A 12385-nucleotide genomic window follows, 5' to 3' on the forward strand; every position below is an offset into this window, starting at 1 on the left:
TAGATATTAGTGCTTTGTTGGGTATGTGATTTGCAAATATTCTCTCTCGTCTGGAATTTCTCTGCTCTTTTTCATTGGATCTTTCCCACAGCAAAGGATAATGCTTTTGGTGTCAAGTCTATGAATTCTTTGTCTAGTCTTAGATCCCAAAAATGTTTTATGTTTTCTTTTAGAAGTTTTATCGTTTTACATTTAAATCTATAATCTTTAACAAGTTAATTTTTATATGAGGTATGTGAGGTTTAGGGTTTTTTTTTTTTTCTAATGGATGTCTAATTGCTCCCACACCGTTTATTGGAAAACTATATACTTCCTCCACTGAACTGATTGTCAAAAACTAATTGGGCATATCTGTTGGGACTTATTTCTGGGTTCTTCACTCTGGTTCATTACATATGTGCCATCCCTTTGCTGATACCACACTTTGCAGCTCCACAGTAAGCATTAATATTGGGAGAAGTGAGTGCTTCCACTTTATTATTCTTTTTGAGAAATCTTGTGGACATTTTTGGACCTGTGTTTTTCCACGTAGAATAAGCTTGTGTATGTCTACAAAAAAAAAAAACATTGCTGAGGTTTTGATAGGAGTTACGTTAAATCTATAGATAATTATAGAGAAAACTGACTCACTATTATGTTCATTTTCCGATCCATGAACATGGGAAGTCTCTCCATTTATTCAGATGTTCCTTGATATTTTTCATCAGCATTTTGTAATGTTCATCCTGCATCCTGTATGAGCATTGTGAAACTTATATGTAAGTATTTTATTTTCTTGGTGCAACTGTAAATGGTATTATGTTTGTGATTTCAGTTTTCACTAGTCCATTGTGGGGATACAGAAATGCAGTCAATTCATAGCCACGGATCTTGTATCCTGTCATTGTAATGAGCTCATTTTTCAGTTGTAAGAGGTTTTGTTTTGGGTTTTGTAGAATCAGTCTTTCATCCTCAACTGTGAAATTGGTTGTAGGTTTTTTGTAAATGCTCTGTATAAAGGAGTGGAAGGCAGTTCCCTGGGCCACCTGTTGCTGTTGTGTGGGTGGATGGGCAAAAGCCCCTGGGTCTGGGTCTCCTGGAGCCACCGGATAGGGAGTGGTCCACACAGCAGCATCAGGCTGTCCACTGGTGGCTTGGGTGTGGAGCGGGCCTTGGGCTCCCACTAGGTCTCACTGAGCTTCCCCTTTGGCCTGACAGAGCCTTTTGGTTTTGCTTTATTTTGTTTTCTCTATACCTGTTGGCGGTTCTGGTTACAGGCCTTCCTGTGCCCACACTGGAAGGATACAGGAGATAAAACAGAAGTCCAGGGTCTCATGGTGTTGCTACCCCCTCATGTCCTGAGGCCCCAGTCAGTCTGCCTGCTTTTAGTTTCCAGCGTCCTTTTACTGTTTCTTGTTAAATTATTTACTTGTAATCACGGGGAGGAGCAGGGAAAAATGAATCTACGCCATCTTGTTCTAAAACCAGAAGCCCCTGTTTTTAAAGTTTTCTACCGTGTTTCAGTGCACTGCCTAGAAAATAAAACACTGGGTTTCATTTCCTTGTATTTTGGGGGATATTTCTATAGGAGCCAAATGATTTTCATACTAGGATGAATAGAATGAATATGTCAACAGTCTTTTAGGTCTCAGTCATAAACATTATCTCTGATTGTATAGATAGGTAAACGTCTTTGACTCCATAATCAAGCAGACTTTTTTTTTTTGAGATAGAATTTCACTCTGTCACTCACAGTTCAGTGGCACAATCATAGCTCACTGCAACCTTGAACTCCTGGGCTCAAGCGGTCCTCCCACCTCAGCCTCCCAAGTCGCTGGGACTACAGATGCACATCACCACAACTGGCTATTTATGTATGTATACATTTTATAGAAACGGAATCTCACTATGTTGCCCAAGCTGGTCTCAAACTTCTGGCCTCAAGCAATCCTCCTATCTCAGCCTCCCAAAGTGCTAGGATTCCAGGCACAAGCCATGGTGCCTGGCCAAGCAGGCTTACTTAAATATCAAAATGATCACCCTCCATTATCCAGAATTTCAAAACCTATTGTTCTGAGTGGCTGCCAGGAGGTGCCAACAGTTGGCACGAAATTAAGCTAAACTCATGTCCAGCGCAGTCACGCCATGTGCCTCCTCCCTGGCACCAGAGGGCTGCCATGAACCCTAGGAGACGCAGGCCCACCCTCCACCCCCCACCCCCCACCCCCACCGTCCCGGGGTGTGATCTCGGCACTCCACCTATCACCACCCAAACCCACATCAGTGTGTGCAGAGGCTCCCAGGAGCACAGCTCCACATATGTCAAAGTTCAGAGATGGAAGGAAACTCCTCAGTGCAAGTGGAGAGAGACAGATGTGATTTAAACGGGGAGTGGGGAGCATCATAAATTCACCAAGAATCTGGCTGAACTGTGCCTCTGTATAGACAGGATGATAGATTTTCCCAAACCAGAGCCCAGACTTGGTGCAGAAAAGAGTTACTCCTCTCTGTGCAGGAATTCATCATTTGCATCCCGCATCACAGCAAAAGCAGGCACAGAGGCTTAGAGCCCTCTTAGACACCTATGAGTGAATACAGCTTCTTATAAACATCCCTCCCAGACTCCATCTACTCAGAGTTTATCCAGGCATCCAGAGTAGAAAAGGTCCTTTGGGGATATTCAAGGAAAACTGGTCCCCTGTAGAAAGACAGACGCACGGCTGCCACAGGGAAACTCCCATCTGAGCTATCTGGGAAAATCATGCCATGCCCACAGCTCCCGTCGCAGACCCCACTAACTCTAGAAGCTATTTTTGGATGCACTTTCCGGTTAACACAAGAAACTAAGTTCAAGAACACGGACCAGGCACTGGAAGGGCTGGAGTCTCCCTTTTAGCCGATTTCCTGCTTCCCATGGTCTCGCGGAGCTGTTTTAGAGTGCTTGTCTGAAATGACACTATCACCCACCGCCAAAACTGAGACAGCGCCCACCACAGTGGATACCTGTGTTCAAGACAAATCGAATAGAGAGATCACCTGATTTTACTGTCACCCCAAGAACATGAAGGAGTCAAAATTTCAGAAACTAATGATACAAGGCCACAAAGCACACGGTATTAAAACATACCTCTGTCATACACTTTGCTCGCATATTTGTTATTTACAAGGGGTATGTGTCACAACACTGCAATTTGAACATTTTCATAAAGACGAGGGGAGAATCTGCCATTCAGTAGAAGGGACCCTGAGGGAACAGGTGGTGCGTTTCTCTCCACGGCACGTCTTTGCCAGCTGGAGCCTCTACGAAAGGGAGGACTCATAAACTGCAACCTCAAGTTAAATTATGAGGCAAGTAAAAGGGAATTTTATGGGTCTTCCTAAACTGAGGAAGTTTAAGAGATATTTTTCTATTTTATCACCATGTTCCTAGTCCATTTGATTTTATGATGTCATATTTTAAAATAAAGGGATATTAATTGTCCAGGTAATCAAAAGTAAACCAAATAATTGAAATTGTTTTCTTTCAGGAAAAACTCTCCATTTTCCTGTGAGCTTTTAAAATGTAGGGAGAACAAGCACTTACTCAGGGTGCAGCCCCCCAACCTGATCCTCCTGCCCGCCCCATGCACCCTGAGTGGCAAAGGAAGAAGAGGGCTCCTGCCCCTCCTGGCTGGACCACCCTGAGAGGCTGCGGTGGGCGAGCAGTGAGGAGGGCAGACCTGGCTGTGCACGAGCTGCCAAACAGCCAGCACTTGTGGACCCTGTGGCTTGCCGTCTGGGGACATGCTTAGCCCCTGTCTGCAAAATGAGACAAGGAGGGGCTGGCAGCCTGCACCGGCACATGAGGTGGCTTCAGCTTGTCTTAAATGACAGGTTTCAGGCATGGCTGTTCTCCCTGTCCCTCCCATCCCCAGTCACTGTGTGCTTCTGATTTTATCCAAGGGGCACAGGCCTGAACAAGGGCCATAGCAAAGGGATGAATGAAAAGGTTTTCCATAAACTCCTACCAAATACCCGGAGAAAGTGGTTCTCCACAAATCCCCCCCAAACACCAGGAGAAAGTGTGTGATGAGGTGGACACTCACCAAGCAAGACCTCGCCTCTCACAGAGCCCCTCTGGCTGGTGCCTCTTGGGAACTGCGGGGAGCGCTGGCAGGCAGCTTCTCACTGCTGACTGCCAGGAATCTGGGCACGCACAAGGGACACAGACTGAATGTATTAACGAAGGTGGCAGTGACATATTCAACAAAAGGCCAAGAAGACCAAGTGAAGCCTTCAAAATCAGGAAATCAGCACGGACCGTTTGTGTGTTTGTGTGTGTGTGTGTGTGTGTGTGTGTGTGTGTCAGGCCACCTGGGTGATGGCCGAAGTTAACTGTGATAAGGCCCGGCCACCTCCACCAACATACACACTGAGCCTCCCCGGAACTGTTTTGCATACTCTGCCTCGAGCTCACAGTCATGTCCCTGTTACCAGAGAGCAGGGCCTTACAAGAAGTGTCAAGGTTGAGAGAAAGTGTGGGATGACATCTAGGCAACAAGACCACAGACAGGGCACCCGACCCCACCCATGCTGACAGCAACTCTCCTGGGCTCCCTGGCCAAAGGACTACAGGGAGGGGAGTAAACACCCAGCCAGGGCCCGACACCTCTCCACTGGCAGCAGCAGCATAGTGAGTTAAGGGGCCACCTCCCTAGAGGTCCTGAGAGCAGCACAAATGCTACCGTGGGAGGGTCCCCAGGGTGCATGCTGCCCTAGGCACCACCCCAACAAAGCCGTCCCGGAATCCATGCAGAATGTCTCCACGGACGAAAAAGGCAAGACACTCAAACAGACACTGGTACCCCCATGTTCACAGCAGCACTGTTTACAACAGCCAAAAGGTGGAAGCGCCCAAGGGTCCCTTAACAGATGAATGGATAAACAAGATGTGGTGGTGGGTTCATGCAATGGAATGGTGTCCGCCTCAGAAAGGAGGCTCTGGCACATGCTCCAACACAGATGAGCCTTGAGGACACGATGCTGAGTGAAATAAGCCGGTCACTAAAGGACAAGTACTGTGTGATTCCGCTCACGTGAGACACCCAGGGCAGTCCACTTCGTAGAGGCTGAATGCAGAACGGTTGTTGCCAGGGGCTGGGCATGGGGGAAGGGGGAGTTAGTGTTTCACGGGCACAAAGTTTCCGTTTGGGAGGATAAAAAGTGTTGGAGAGGAGGGCGGCGGTGATGCTCACAACAATGTGAAGGTATTGAATTCCACGGAACTGCACACTTAAAAGGGTTAAATGGCTAATTTTATGTTATGTATATTTCACCATAATAAAACAATTTTTTAAAAGTAAAGCACAAGATAGAACACGCTTAAGGTTATAAGGCTGTGTGTGCCAGTGGAGCACAGCTCAGCTGCTCAGTGTGACAGTGACAAGCCCCAAGTTAGCACGTGGTCCACTTCCAGGAAGTGGAGGAGTCAGAGCGCCCCACCCCTCATGCCTCAACCTTCAGAACTGACATGCTCAGCGCAGAAGGGCCACCCCTGGGCATGAGGGTAGACCATGGTGGTGGTCCCACACTGCTGAGCGTTCTTCAAGCCTTCCTAAACATCCCTGGATAAAAGAGACAGCATGAGAATCACCTAGCCTGACATGTGCCGGACACGTGCCTGACACGTGCAATGTTCCTTCAGTGATCTAAAATGACATCACAACATAAAGCTCCTGGAAGATGTTCTGGGTAGTGGTGCCTAAAGTGATGCCCACACACAAAAACATACACCATCACAGGAGTGCAGAAAAACACTACCACCTTTGTTTGTAATTGTGGTTTATTTTATTTTCATTTATATTTTGTATGTTTCAATAGATATAAGATATTTATGCATTACATGCCGGTAATTTATAAATAAATACACACACCCCCACTTTGGGTGCACATGCCCACTTTTTACTGATAGAGGTGTGAGATCAAAAACATCTGAAGACTGTGGCTGTAATGAACCAGCTACACTAAAAAGGATCAATAACATATACATTTTTCTAAAAAGCATCCATAGAGCATCTTTGTCAGCTATCCTTGTTAAATTCTGGGTATTGGCTTTTATCAGGATAACTATCTGGTGTTAGACACTTTCTCAAAAGCCAGAAATATTTAAACAACTTGATCTCATCCACACACATCAAAGATCAAAGGGACACAGGAGGCTCTGACTGAGCAGCACGCGCAGGCACTCAGCCAGTGGCCCTGAGTAACATCTCTTGGGACCCCAGAGCCCCAGGGCCACCTGTTCTGCTCCCAGGCTCTGCCCCTTTTGGACTGAAACCTCCCTCTCTGGGCTCCCATTTCCTCACAGGAACAATGAAGAATTTATAAGCTCTTCACAGAGCTAGCTAAGAATGGTACCATACAAATTCATAAAAATTCAGGCAAGTATATGGTGCTAGAGAAATACGTGAAGTTTTATCACTAAGTATTTGAACAACAATTTTAAAAAGCACCTTTTTTCCACCGTATCATGATCTTTGCGGGTCACGGGGTCTTCATGATCCCACTAAGCAATTTGGAGCTATTCCATATATTCCTAGCTAATTCAAACAGCTACAGCCTTTTTTTTTTTTTTTTTTTTTTTTTTTTTTTTTTTTTTTTTGAGATAGAGTCTCACTCTGTCACCTGGGCTGGAGTGCAGTAGTGCAATCATAATCACGTCTCACAGCACTCTTAACCTTCTGTGCTCAAACAATCTCAGCCCCGCAAGCAGCTGGGACTACAGGCATGCACCACCATGCCCAGCTAATTTTTCGTATTTTTTGTAGGGATGAGGTTTTGCCATGTTTTCCAGGCTGGTATCCAACTCCTGAGCTCAAGCAATCCACCCACCTTGGCCTCCCAAAGTGCTGGGATTACAGATGTGAGCCACCACACCTGGCCTACAGCCATTTTTTAACGGAAATCATCTTAATCAATATTAACACACAAAAAGCTGTAGTTAAGAAGGTGGTTTCTGCCAGGCATGGCAGATAGAGCCTGTATTTCCAGCTACTTGGGAGGCTGAGGCAGGACTGTGTGAGGCCCAGAAGTTCAAGACCAGCCTGGCAACACAGCAAGACCTGGCCTCTAAAAAGTGTTTTTTTTTTTTAATCATCTGTAAAATGAGGATGCAAAACAAACAAAAAAATAAACATGGTATCTGTTTGTTAAACTCTGCAATGAACACATGTATTAGCTTCCCGCTGCGGCAACAAATTATGACAACTTGGTGGCTTGAAGTAACACAAATTTGGGGAGTTTTATTTTATTTATTTCATTTTATAGAGATGGGGTCTTGCCCAGGCTGGAGTGCAGTAGCATAATCACAGCCCAGTGCAACCCCAGTCTCCTGGTCTCAAGTGATCCTCCTGCCTCAGCCTCCTGAGGACCTGGGACTACAGGCTTGTGCCACTGCACCGGCTAAACAAATCTGTCATTTCACAATTCTGGAGGTCAATCTGACATGGATCTTACTGGGTCAAAACGATGGTTTCGGCAGGGCGGCGGGAGAGAATGTTTCCTTGCCTTTTCCAGCTCCTAGAGGCCGCCCACACTCCTTGACTCTAGGTCCTCCACTTTCAAAGCCAACAATGGCAAATTAAGTAGTATTCATATCGGATCTCTCTGCCCGCTTTTCTTCCACTTTTACAGACTTGTGATTACACTGGGCCCACAATTCACTCCAGAATAATCTCCCCATCTTTTTCCAAGAGAAAGGGGAATTAGAATTGGCTGCAGTTAAGGTGGCACCATCAGCTGATTAGCCACCTTAACTGCAGCCAACTTTCATTCCCCTTTCTCATGGGACCTAAGGGAGGGCAGTAGCTCCAGGGATGTTTTACAATTTAAGTTCTATTATTATTCAAGCACTATGGGGCTGACAGGTCAGGAGAGGACTGCCATTGAAAAGAGGATTTGTTACTCAGAGTCCTCCAGAGAAGGAGCTCGCCACACCTACCGCTGTGGGAGGGGGAACATAGGGGAGACCAGCGTCCTAGGAGGCAGAGACCTTGGTGAGAGGAGGGAGAGTCTTTTCTGTGCCTTCCATGGGAAAGAACAGGAGAGGCGGGGTAAGCAGGTTTAGAATCCATTAGTTTGAATAACCTCGGTGGACCCTGGGACAAAGGGCTGTCCCTAGCTGCTTGGTGGCTGGACCTGGGGTGATGAGAGCAGGTGCACAGTGGATGAAACACAGAGGGGGCCGAGGGTGTGGACGTTGGATTGGGTGGCTTGCACACGTAAGGCATGCTGCAGCAATGCTGTTTGCTATCTCTAGGAATTATCTAGCCCTGGGAGGGCCTGTCCCTCCGGAGGCAGCAAGGCTCCAGATGTCAAAGCACCAGACAAGAGAAAATAAAAAGACATCCTTAGTACAGGACTGAATAAGCAGGAACTGAGTTTAGATGTCACTGCATGCAGTAGTTGGGAACAGAGCCAAGAATTACAGACACCACCCTCCCTCCTTCTACGCCTTCTCCAAGTCCCAAGGGCGCATTATGAAGGAATTCCCATTAAGTCTGGCCAGACGCTTTACAGAGGAATTAACACAGGATAGGAAACTGAAAGGAGAAAAAGAGAAAAGACCAGAAACGGAGGAATTTAACCGTGATCAAGGAGGAGCACGGCGCAGCTGCAGGACTGAGCTCAACTCTGGCTCTCACCTCCATGCCAGAGAGAACCTGAGGGTCTCTGTCAGCATGGCCTCCTGGCCCCCAGACATGCTCCCCATGGATGTGAAAGACCACAGGCAGCAGCCAGATTTCTATGGAATGAATCAAACTTTCCATCCTGCTTAAAAGCAATGATTTTCTTTCCAAAAAAAAAAATAAATGTGTACATGGAAAATATTACAATGCAAGTCACAATGAGAGTTAAAAAAGACACACACATCTGATTTGACTAAAGTCTGTCCTGGCAACACGAATAAATAAAATAATGACAATGACACGATGGCACTATGAAATGCCATTACCTAGGTTTCTACCAATTAATTATGAGGGACAAGACATACATAACTAAATATAATTAAATCACGCAGGTCGATAAGATTACCCTTTTTGAGAAAATAATTACATGCCACGTATATTTTGAAACTGTTCAGTGGAGGTGAACAATTGTAGCCCATTATGTGTATGAGACATTCTGGAAAATATCGCTTTGACTTATGTTCAAAAATGGTTGGCTTGTTCAGAGAGAGAGAGTCAGTGGGGAGCACCCAGCAGGAACAGGGGCCTCCCCAGCTCGCTCTCTCCCTGCCTCGTCTTTCCTCTCACAATGCTCTCGGTTTTCTGAGTCAACCATGCTCCTGGGCCAAGGTGCAGCACTGGAGATGACCGAGACAGACAGCGTGGATGCGTTTTGTACGGGGAACAAAACTGATTTCCAACTTGGCAAAAAGCAACAGGAGAGGCCCCGGCTGTGTCTGGTACCGCCTCAGCCGAGCCCTGAAGGGAAAGGCCCAGAAAAAGGGATGTGGCCACACCCTGGGGGCCAGCCCACAGGCGAGGCGAGTCCCCAGGCGCCATTCTACGCGGCCAGTTTTGGAGAACTGGAACTGTGTAGAGCGTCCGGCGGCAGCGGACCCAGCGCTGCTCCATTCTCCCTCCCTCCCTCCCCCCCCAGCCCCGGTGACTCACTCCGCGGCCCGGGCAGGGCGAGACCACGCCCACCACCCCCCAAGACCTGGCCGCGCTCACCTCCCCTCCTGCACAGAGCACCTAAGGGCCCAAAGATCACATCTGAACAAAGGATGGAACTTGGAACTTACATTTACCTTTCCTGCCCCTGACTTTTTAAACTGTTATTAGAAGTATACAAAAACAAAAGGCAGGACATAAAAGTAGTGAAATGCTTTAAACTCTACAAATGACTCAGTTCAAATGTGCGGTGACAGCCTGGGTTTCCTGCCATTTCGTTAACCCCTCGTGTACTGGATTCTTTTAGAAGCAGTGGTTTCCATGCCAGACATCACTTCTTGGGGGAAGCAAAGCAAACAGAGGCTGGGGAGGGGTGAGTGGGGATCTCGGGGACTCCGCCGAACTTGGGGAGGGAGCCTTGTCAAGTCTGGCCTGGCCCACGCTGAGGTCCGTTCGCACCCCAGGACCTTTCTAGAAAAGTCCTAGATTACTATACAACAGGCAGATCTGATGCTGAAACAGAAATAAGGCAGGTCTCTGAGCGGATCTAAAGTTCCCTACTATGCAAGAGCTCACGGGCCTCCAAAGCACCTACTAAGCACCTTTCTGAGAAGACTTGCATGGAGGGCTCTGTTCCAAGGCTCTCCATTCGTGGCCTAGGTTGAGTTTCCTTTTGAAAACCAAGACTTACTTTAGGTTTTTTTTTTTAATTATTATTGTTATAACTGTTGATAAGCAAAAATCAATCAAAGACATCGTTAAATGGGCCAATGAATTTACTTCATTTTATGTTTTCAAAACAAACCTTCCCCCTAAAAGGTTATTACCAAATCCAATTTCATTTACAATATACGCCACATTGCCATTTAAACAAAGAATGCTTTCATGTTACCATTTCCCCAGAATGCTTCTTCTAGTGAGGTACATTTTTCAGAAGACATTTGAGCCAACAGAGGGTATCTCTGGATCCTTAGTGGTCCTCAAAATTCTCAGTGGGGATCGGATCTATTCCCAATATTTCAAAATTCTTTCCAAAAGCTGTCCATTTCCTCATGGTACAAGTATACAGCTAAATGACACCTAAAATTCTTTGGGCTTGGAGGCACAATTCAGTGTCTTAGCAATGTGGACAGGCCAGGTGCGGTCTCAGTATTTTGGGAGCTGAGGTGGGATGATTGCTTGAGGCCAGGAGTTCGAGACCAGCATGGGCGACACTGCAAGACCTCATCTCTAAAAATAAAACTGTTTTAGAAATTTAAAAAAACTGAGGAAGTTTATTTTGATCAAAAGATCTTAATAGCAATAATGACAGCAGTTGTAACAGGAATACTAATGAGTTGCAACTAAACTTTTCAAATTCTTACCTGCCTGCCTGCCTGGCACTGTAGCCCACCCTCTCTGCATTATTTCATGTATTCCTCACAGCACACCAGAAGCTGCTATCTTCTCTCTTCCCCTCCCTCCAATTTAATGCCATCCTCCCTCCTATTGAATGCCACCCTCCTTCCAATTTAATGTTATCCTCTCTCCAATTTGATGCCATCCTCCCTCTATCCTCCCTCCTGTTAAGTGCCATCCTCCCTCCTATTGAATGCCATCCTCCCTCCTGTTAAATGCCATCCTCCCTCCAAAGTAATGTTATACTCCCTCCTATTGAATGCCATCTTCCCTCCAATTTAAATAAGAACACTGGGATGAAGAGAAATGCATTCTGCCTAGCATCTAACTGCTGGCAAGGGTCTGACCTCATTGAGGGTGTTGGGGCTCAGGAACCAATATCGCAAAATATGGCACTTTGATGCGCTGAACTGTAGAACCCTCAGCGTCTCTCTAACCGCCCCCCAACCTCACCTCTCAATCCTCTGTCTCACCCAAAGCCCAAGATGAACTCCTCCGAAGTTCCCTTCTCTCCCTAAACCTAAAATCCAGACACTCCAAAGAGGAAAACAGGTTTTTATTAACTGAATTCATATTGTGGGAAGAAAAACTGAAGTCTGTCAACACAGCTGGACAGGCTTTTGTCACAAACCACTGTCTGTTATGCAGGCCTCAAAGACTGTGGCCCAGACTATGGTGTGTTCTTCAAGCACAGTGAATTCCCCTAAAACTCATTTACTACCCCTGTACAATCATCCCCACTTCCCATCTCCCTTTCCCTTGAGAAGGAGGGTATATAACCCTGCGTACTCCACTGAGATTGGGCAATCATTCTCCCACAGTTCTTCTGTGCTATGCATGTTAATAAATGTGCTTGCCTTTTCTCCTGTTAATCTGCCCTTTGTCAGTTGATTTCCAGCAAACTTTCAGAGGGCAAAGGAGAAGTTTTCCTCTAGCCCCTACAAGGGCGTTTTAATTGTCTCTAACTTAAAATGAGGACAAAAATTCTTAATTGCCTAATAAAAATAGTTTGGTAGGCAAAATGTTCCAAAATACAGTATCCCCAGTGGAAAAATAACCACAAGGTATGTGCAGGGTAATTCATACAAACTGCACTCCGGGAAAATGCAAAACAAGTAAACATAGAAAGTCAGGCTAAGAGTCTTCTAAAAAAGCAGAAATCAAAATAGCTCTTCATGCTTCCTGTAAGTTCTGTCAGTGTGCTAAATATGGCAAGGTGAGTCTTGTACAAATGTGCACAGTGGGCTCCCCTGCTGCAGGAGTTCAACAAGAAGCTGAAGCACCATGTTGTGACCAGCAGGAGTCTAACAGTCACCCAGCCCCTTTTCAACCTTCCCAAAACGTGGGGAAGC

The 12385-nt window shown here is 46.2% G+C and overlaps 1 protein-coding gene and 1 non-coding gene across 9 annotated transcripts in view, besides 4 other annotated features; both read right to left on the minus strand.

The window, feature by feature from the left end:
* The window catches only part of ATP10A (ATPase phospholipid transporting 10A (putative)), a 192852-nt gene that overhangs the window by 168795 nt on the left and 11672 nt on the right, over positions 1 to 12385 (minus strand). The gene's annotated exons all lie outside the window — the stretch shown is intronic.
* Positions 4044 to 4885: an enhancer, noted in NCBI's record as "H3K27ac-H3K4me1 hESC enhancer chr15:26090222-26091063 (GRCh37/hg19 assembly coordinates)". NCBI's record gives its function as "activates a minimal SCP1, AML or CMV promoter by ChIP-STARR-seq in naive H9 embryonic stem cells {active_cell/tissue: H9 hESC(naive)}" and the evidence as "EXISTENCE:reporter gene assay evidence [ECO:0000049][PMID:30033119]".
* MIR4715 (microRNA 4715) lies at positions 7716 to 7794 on the minus strand. The gene has a single exon (NR_039865.1). It is a non-coding gene; the product is annotated as a microRNA 4715 (primary transcript).
* Positions 9253 to 9302: an enhancer, noted in NCBI's record as "active region_9164". NCBI's record gives its function as "activates an Ori minimal core promoter by ATAC-STARR-seq in GM12878 lymphoblastoid cells {active_cell/tissue: GM12878}" and the evidence as "EXISTENCE:reporter gene assay evidence [ECO:0000049][PMID:35858748]".
* Positions 9353 to 9412: an enhancer, noted in NCBI's record as "active region_9165". NCBI's record gives its function as "activates an Ori minimal core promoter by ATAC-STARR-seq in GM12878 lymphoblastoid cells {active_cell/tissue: GM12878}" and the evidence as "EXISTENCE:reporter gene assay evidence [ECO:0000049][PMID:35858748]".
* Positions 9693 to 9742: a silencer, noted in NCBI's record as "silent region_6265". NCBI's record gives its function as "represses an Ori minimal core promoter by ATAC-STARR-seq in GM12878 lymphoblastoid cells {active_cell/tissue: GM12878}" and the evidence as "EXISTENCE:reporter gene assay evidence [ECO:0000049][PMID:35858748]".

Source organism: Homo sapiens, chromosome 15 (genome assembly GCF_000001405.40).
Source record: "Homo sapiens chromosome 15, GRCh38.p14 Primary Assembly".
Lineage (NCBI taxonomy): Eukaryota > Metazoa > Chordata > Mammalia > Primates > Hominidae > Homo > Homo sapiens.